Genomic DNA, 8,445 nt, shown 5'->3' on the forward strand with positions numbered 1-8,445 from the left:
ACTGGGTGAAATGGCCCCTCTGGTATTTCCAGAGTCCCCTGGGCTCACCTCCAGCCCCGCATAGATCACACTACAGTTGGCTCCCTGGTTGCCTGTCTGTTTTCTGTCTCTGTGTTATATTGATGTCTGGTTCTCCAACACCTAACAGAGTCTCAATAAAGAGTTTTAAATGGATACCATCTCTCCTTTTATTTCTGTCTCTTGTCACTTGCCTCCGTCCCTCAGAACCCTGTGAATTATAAAGAGCACTAATGACTCCACTACAGTAGGGATGAAAGGCTCTGGGAAGGGCCCCTGTCTGCAATAGCTCTAGCTTACCACAGTAGCTGAACCACTACCATTAGCAAATCATTAAGGTAAGAATTGCCCTCTTCTGAGGGATCCTCAGACAGAGACCCATAATAAGTGAAAGGTGTGTGAGTGTATGTGTGCGTGTGCATGCTCCTCACTGCAGCACTTTGCAAGGGTCCCAAACTCCTACTTTCCAACATCAATACTGCCAGGGGCCAGGGTGAGGGGCTGCTCATAGGAGGCTGTGTGGCACAGTGGTTGTCTCCTGTAACTGGTGTTGACTTCCTGGGTTTGAATCCTGACTCTACAACTTCCCAGCTGGGTACGCTAGGGTAAGTCATTGAATGCATCAGTGCCTCAGTTTTCCCCTCTGTAAAATGGTCTTGATAATAACAATATGAACTTTTGGGGTCAGGATGAGGGTATTCAGCAACACGATGCCGGTAAAGTGTTCAGTACAGAGCTGGGGCAGAGTAAGAATTTAGTAGAACTCAGTTATTATCATTGTTCTCCTTTAAATTTAAATTATTCTGCTTATCCAGAAGTCCTGGCATCTGGTCCCAGCTCTGCTGTTAACCCTATGGATGGCCCTGGATAAGTCCTTGTCCCTCTCTGCACTTCCCCCTCTGTTCTTGAATTCTCCTGCCTCAGAGCTTCAGATGAGTGGGCTTTACTGAGCAGCTGTGAAGTGGCAGTTGGACTGCCTGGCCCTGAGCCTGCCCTTTTGTGGGGGATGAGAAAGTGGGCAGTGGGCCTGAATCATCCCAGGATGATTTGCCTTCAGAAGCACAGGAAGGCATGGGTAAAGGGCCTGCAAGCTGAGAGGTCATAGGCGGAGTGACCAACCTTGCTGATGTGCCCAGGACTTTCCTGGCTTTAGCATTGAAACTTCCATGTTCCAGGTACCCTCTCTGTTCTGGGATCAGTAGATGTCCACTGAGCAGGATCATCATGTTTCTGGGAAATTGATCTTGGGATAATGAGGTTGGGATGGGAACTGGAGGCTGGGGAGGGGCTGTCCAATGCACCGGGCACTGCTGGTTGGGGGTACCTGGAGGCGGGATATGGTCTCAGCAAAGCGAAGGAGAAAGTCGAGGGGGAGGGGGAAGGGCTGCTGCTACCCTTTCTCTCTCTATATATATATATATTTTTTTTCTTTTTTCTTTTTTTTTTTTTGGATAGGGTTTTGCTCTGTTTCCCAGGCTGGAGTGCCGTGTCACAAACAGGGCTCCTTGCAGCCTGGACCTCAGGCTCAGGCGATCCTTCCAACTCAGTCTGCTGAATAACTGGGACCACAGGCATACACCATCATGCCCAGCTAATTTTATTTGAATTTTAGTAGAGATTGGGTCTCCCTATGTTTCCCAGGCTGGTCCCGAACTCCCAAGCAAGTGATCCTTCCTCCTCGACCTCCCATAGTGCTGGGATTACAGGTGTGAGCCACCGTGCTGGAGCTGTTTCTATTTCTGCATATCTCCTCCAAAGTATCAGCTGCCCTGTGGGATGAAAGCGGGGACTTTTCCAGCCTCTGGTGTTTGCTCTTCCTGTACCCCTTCCTGTTACCTAATTAGGAACTGGGCCTGTATCTATATCCTTCCCAGGCTGCCTTGTAGCTCTCCATACATGTTTGATGAATGAACACTGAACCACACTACAGGTTTCAAAGCCTCATTTGACTCTCTAGTCTAGGGGGGACTAGAAAGGTCTTTTGGCAAGACAGCAACAATAATAACTAATGTTTGTTGAGTATTTCTGTGTGCCCGTGAATGTTCTAAGCACCCTACAGCAGTGCGGTTTCTTTTAACTCAGAAAATCGTTGCTGGCCCCAGGTAGCCTCCATCCATCAGTGCTGACATGGCACTACGCAACAGGAAACAGTCTACCCCAGTAATTCTCAACAGGATAACTTTGTGCCCCGGGAGACTCTTGGCAATGCCTGGAGACATTTTTGGTTGTCACAACTGAGGGAGAAGTGGAGACCAGGGATGCTACTCAATACCCTACAGTGCGCATGGCTGCCCCCACCACAAAGAATTATCTGGACCATTATGTCAGCAGTGCAGAGGTGGGGAGACCCTACATGACATGCATTATCTCCTATTTTACCCTCTCAGTGGCCCCGTGATGTAGGATCACAGAAGAGGAAACTGAGGGTCAGACAAGTTAGGCAAATGCCCAATGGAGCCAGGACGTGATCGCTGGATGATCGGGTGTCAAATCCCGTACTCTTGACCCCTGCTCTGCGGAAGCCAACTGGGAGATGAGGGCAGAGGGGCTGCCTTGGGCAGGGACAGGGGGGCTGCTCTGTTGGAGGGCCTGGATCCTCCGGATTGCTGAACACAGTCCTGTCTGAGGGTCACTGGAGGGTCGGGGCGTGGCAGAGTGGCTTGTCCAGAGCCCAGAGACAGCCTGTGGGGAATTTTCCTGGCTGGCCAGAGCAGCCACCAGATGGGGGACCGAGCAGAATGTAATATCTGGCCATCTGCAGTCAGCAGCCCCCAAATGCAGCAGGCAGCCCCTCCCGGCGGATGAGAAGATTCTTCCTGCAACCCTGTGTGCTGGATTTGCTGCTGGTCTAGGAAGACTGGACTTTGGGGAATAGAGCGTCTCACATGTGATTGAAACATGCATGTGCTCATGTGCACACAAGACACATGCCTGCACACAGCCTCCACCTCTCAGGTGCCAGGGGCTCTGACGGGCACTGAGACCATTGGTGACCACAACTATTGGACCATCCACCTCTCCTTAGGAAACTGGTCAGGATTTACCTACAATGGAGGATTTCTTTGCCCCCTGTGCCAAGCAGAAGGGAAAACATCAAGATTGCTATGACTGGAGGCACGATGCATTCAAGAGGGCATGTGGGGTGGCAAGGGGGCAGCTCACCCTCACCTGTCCTCAGTCTACCCTGTGCCTTCAGAATACCTGTTCTCCTCTCAGTCCTGTGAGTCTTCAGCAAGTGCTCCTCTCCTCTCTGATCTGCTTCCAAGGAAATACAACCAGCTTCACTTTTTGGGACCCGAGAGAGTCTTTATGAGTTACTGAATCATCCTAGAACAATGAGAACTACCATTCACTGAGGATTTAAATCAGGCACCCGGGGCTGTGATGCACATGTCTCCTCCAAGTCCTGTGATAGCTCTGAGAGATGTTGACATAAACCCTGTTTTCTGAAGCTCAGAGAGGTGAAGTCTTTCTCCCAAGGTCACAGAGCAAAGTACATTATTATTTCAGGGTTTTCTAGGAAGTTGAGACTTGCCGTAGTTCAGGCAGAAAAGTGCAGAGCAGGGCATATGGCAGGCACCCCAGATTCATCTATGTCCTTGTAGGGGATTAGGGCACCCCAGATTCATCTATGTCCTTGTAGGGGATTAGGGAACCCTCTTCAGTGACAGACAAGAGCTGCTCATAACCAGTCTCACACAGGGCTACCTCTCAGGTGTTGGGGGGGCACGTGGCTTTTTGCAGTGGTTAAAATACACTCTTATTGTCAGGTAAAGAGGAAATAAACATTGTTGACTTATTTGGTCAAAGCTTTCTTTAAAAATAGGAGCGTGACCCACTTCATATGGACTCAACATCTGAGAATGGCTCAAATTCTTGAATTTGCATCCCCCAAGCCTTCACCCGGTTCAGAAGTTGCATTCTTCCTTGATTATCTCCCTGATTAACTAAACGTGACTGTGGACCAAGTCTGAGCCCGGCATGAGGAACACAAACATGAAGGCATGGGGGTGGTGGAGGTCTCTGCCTGGTGTGTCCATTCACCAAGAAGGGTGACTATTTACAAAGCACCTACTATGTGTTGAGTGGCTTTGCAAACTCACCACTTCCTTATCCTCATGACGGTCCTGTGAGTTTAGATAATCGTCACTTTTATTTTACAAGTCAGGAGACTGGGGCTTGGAAGGGTTTTGTGGCTTGATCAGGGTCCTGCAATCAGATAGTGGCAGGGGTGGGATGGGGACCCAGGCCTGGCTGGGGCATAAGTCCTTATCCCTTCTGGGTATGATCGCTACCCACATGTGGAAGACTGCCCTGGTCTGAGCTGGGGTCAGGATGGGGAGGGCCTCTTCATTTGCCTCCTTCATTTGCTACTTAGCTTTGCTACCTTCGGGGGTTCAAGGCTGTTTTCCTCCCAGTGGGATTAGCTCTGTTCTGATTTTAACCCAAATGGAAATTTGGGCTACAATCATTAAGGGCCCTTCAAGTCCCCAATGAGACCAAGCCAGACCGGCCAAGGAGTTTGCTCTCCTAGCCCAGAACACCCAGTGTGCCCCAGGCGAGGAAATCACATTACTGAATTATGGTTCATTTGCAAGGTTCCCCTGTCCAGCCAGGATGCTGGCTTCCTGACCCCATTAATCAGAGATTCAACTTTCCAAGTGCAGGGCGGCCTACACAGTCCATGGTAGTTGTCCCAAGGACCATGGCCTGACCTTTGTGGACTGAGATGCTAATGCTGAAATCAGGTTTGAATTCCAGCAGCTCCTCCCAATTTCTAGGCAATTATCTAACTTCTGTGAGCCTCAACTTTCTCACCTACAAAATAGGGATAGTCATGGTGTTTGGCAGACTTTTCTTTTCCTTTTCTTTTTGTCTCTTAGAATCCATTTTGCTTTTTGGCCAGCATTCCCTCTCCCCATATTTTTAAGGAGAGAATTCACCTTTTTCTCTGTTGGATGATCACAGGTTCTGCTCTTCCCAATCCAGAGGCAGGTACTATTCACCCCATGGGGTCATAGAGAGGATTAAACAGGGTGATGCCTGCAATGGGAATATTTGAAAACCTTTCTTCCAACTTCTTTTTCCTTTCTTTCTTTCTTTCTTTCTTTCTTTCTTTCTTTCTTTCTTTCTTTCTTTCTTTCTTTCTTTCTTTCTTTTTTTTTTGAGACGAATGTTGCGCTCTCGCCCTCACCTAGGCTGGAGCGCAGTGGTGTGATCTCAGCTCACTGCAACATTTACCTGCTGGGTTCAAGTGATCCTCCTGCCTCAGCCTGCTGAGTAGCTGGGACTGCAGGTTCCTGGTACTGTGCCCAGCTAGTTTTTGTATCTTGGGTAGAGACGGGGTTGCACCACATTGGCCAGGCTGGTCTCAAAACTCCAGACCTCAGGTGATCTGCCTGCCTTGACCTCCCAAAGTGCTGGGATTACAGGTGTGAACCACTGTGCCTGGCCCTTCCAGCGATTTTGAAAAGCATTTACTCAGGGCCTAGCACTTGGTATGGACATTAACTGTCCCTCAGGGGTAGGCAGCCTTCAAGATGCCCCAGCTCAGTCTTGCATATGGTCACACAGCCAGGTATTCACAGCCAGACCCCTTGTGACTCCTTTCCCTTCAAGTGTGGGTGGGACGTTGTGACTTGCTTCTAATGAATTGATACAGCAAAAGCGACGGGCTGGCACTTCTGAGATCGGGTGACAAAAAGGCAGTGGTTTCTGTCCTTTGCTCTTGCCATTGCTCTCCTAAGAGCCCTGGAAAAGCAAGAGGCCAGGTTGTGAGCTGTCCTAGGGAGAGGCCCACGTGGCACGGAGCTGATGCCTCCAGCCTGCAGCCAGAGAGCACAAACCTGAGGCTTGCCAAGAACCACGTGGGCGAGCTTGGAAATGAAGTGAGCTATCTGCTTCCTTTTCCCCACCTTTGGGAGAATAGATGGTATTCTGTAAGCTCTGAAGCCCTCTGTGATTTTTGCTATTTTTCTGTTAACTATTGCTCTAGCAACTGCCAGCAGCAAGCCCCACTAACCACATGCTTTCTATGTGCTAGGCACTGTGTTAAACCCATTTGTCTGCCTTCTTTTTGAGACAGAGTCTCGCTGTGTCACCCAGGCTGGAGTGCAGTGGCGTGATCTTGGCTCACTGCAACCTCCACCTCCTGGGCTCAAGCAATTCTCCTGCCTCAGCCTCCTGAGTAGTTGGGATTGCAGGCACCCACCACCACGCCCAGCTAATTTTTGTATTTTTAGTAGAGATGGGGTTTTGTCATGTTGGCCAGGCTGGTCTTGAACTCCTGACCTCAGGTGATCCTCCTGCCTCAGCCTCCTAAAGTGCTGGGATTACAGGCATGAGCCACCAAGCCCGGCCCATTTGTCTACCTTTTTTTTTTTTTTTTTAAATCCCATTTTACAGAGGTGACACTGAAGCTTGAAAGGGATGAGTCTTGCATATGGTCACATAGCCAGCATGTGGCTGAGCAGGGGGCCCAAAGCAAAGTCAGCCTGACTTTTTGGCATCTGCTTCTGGACAAGTGTAGGCTGAGACTTCTGAGAAAGGAGCCCTAAGAAGCCTTTTATGCACTCCAGGGAGCACCCTCTGACTGCGGCAGGGTTGTTGGGGGTGCCAGTGTTATTTTGCACCGAGGGTCATGCAGAGCTGAGACTGTTCTGGAGAGACTCAGAGATTGGGGGTTTGCAGCATCTTCCTCTTAGCTGGAGGAGAGCATGGGGGCAGGCCTGCGTGGGGGCAGCAGGATGGCTGAGTTGGCCTGCCTGAGCTTTGGACACTCCAGGTTTCTTGGCCACGCACTTTTGTTCCTGAGCTCAGAGGCCCTGGCCACAGGCTTCTGGCTATGGGTCTTTGGCGACTCCTGGGGGAGAGGGGCCCCACCTGTGTGACTGAAGAAGACAAGGACCCCCCGTGGTCATTCCCCTTCCCAGGGAACCTCCTCTGAGCCAAAGGTTTGTGGCTGCTGTGACCTCATCCTCTTGCGCCAGTTCCTGCTTCCCTGTAATTTATGGCCACGTCCGCATTAATTGATGCTGCAGAGGCCGTGAACTGGGCTAATTGTTTCCAAATATCAAATTGCAGGGTTTCTTGGCTGATTACAGGGGCATTAGAGTGGAAAGTGGCAAGGTTCTGCTGTTGTGATAATGAATGATGGGCCCCGGGGATGCCATCTGCCCGGATGAGACTGAGAGACCTCCACATGGCACAGTCACCCAGCAGGCTGGGACACCTCCAACCCCTGGCCATGAGAGGGGCACATTTCCTGGAAGGATCTGGGGGAGTTCTTCTCTGTGGCGATGTCTTCAATATCCCCCATTATCCCATGGAGATAATGGGACAGACAGGGGCCTAGTGATGCATTTCCAGGCCACAGAGGAAGGAGATACTTGCTAGATCATCAACATCATCATCATTACCTTATAATAGCACCTACTACGTGCTAGGAGCTATGCCAGACCTCTCGGTAGAGCTCATTTATTTAATGCATCATCGCTATGGGGAAGGTACTCTTTCCACTGCCATTTTACAATGAGGAAACTGAGGCACAAAAAGGTGACATCACACAGCCAGTAGGTGGTGGAGCTGGTCTTTAACCCTGTGTAGTCTGACTCTGATACACACACTTTTAACCATCACACCAAGAGTCTCTCCAGGGGGCTCTGTGCCAGCCAGACGAGCTTGCATCTCCAGTTCTGGAAGCTTCGGGGTTGGCTTTTTAAACTCCCCATTGTTTTCTTTTAGCTCTATGCCCAGGCTAGAGTGCAATGGTGCAATCTCGGCTCACTGCAACCTATGCCTCCCAGGTTCAAGCGATTCTCCTGCCTTAGCCTTCTGAGTAGCTGGGACTACAGGCATCCCCTACCACTTCTGGCTAATTTTTGTATTTTTAGTAGAGACGGGGTTTCGCCATGTTGGCCAGGCTGGTCTCAAACTCTTGACCTCAGGTGATCTGCTTGCCTTGGCCACCCAAAGTGCTGGGATTACAGGTATGAGCCACCGTGCCTGGTTCCCATTGCTTTCTAATTGTTCCAATTTCCATTCATTTCCAGGTCAGCCCGTCTGCACTTCCCTTATCCCAGTTACTCCAGGGCCTTCTCCCTTTCCTTCCTGGCTTCTCACCTCCTCAGTTTGGGTGGATTTGGGACAGAGTGGGAAGAAGGGAAGTAAGTCTTACTGAGTTCCTACTACCTATGAATAATTTTGCAAATATGATCTCATTTAATCCTTAAAACCTATGTGGTTATTTTTTATTTTTATTTTTATAATGAGATAATGAGAAAACTGAGGCTGAAAGGTACTTGACTTGCCCAAGATTACCCGGTTATACAAGTGGTAGAGCCAGGAATGGTCTGACCTCGGTCTGTTTCCTTTTTTTTTTTTTTGAGACGGAGTCTCGCTCTGTCCCCCAGGCTGGAGTGCACTGGC

General features: G+C 49.9%; 1 annotated feature.

Annotated features, from left to right (window-relative positions):
• Positions 6,385-6,885: an enhancer, noted in NCBI's record as "H3K4me1 hESC enhancer chr12:117826376-117826876 (GRCh37/hg19 assembly coordinates)". NCBI's record gives its function as "activates a minimal SCP1, AML or CMV promoter by ChIP-STARR-seq in primed H9 embryonic stem cells {active_cell/tissue: H9 hESC(primed)}" and the evidence as "EXISTENCE:reporter gene assay evidence [ECO:0000049][PMID:30033119]".

The sequence above is a fragment of the Homo sapiens genome, chromosome 12 (assembly GCF_000001405.40).
Source record: "Homo sapiens chromosome 12, GRCh38.p14 Primary Assembly".
NCBI classification, from domain to species: domain Eukaryota; kingdom Metazoa; phylum Chordata; class Mammalia; order Primates; family Hominidae; genus Homo; species Homo sapiens.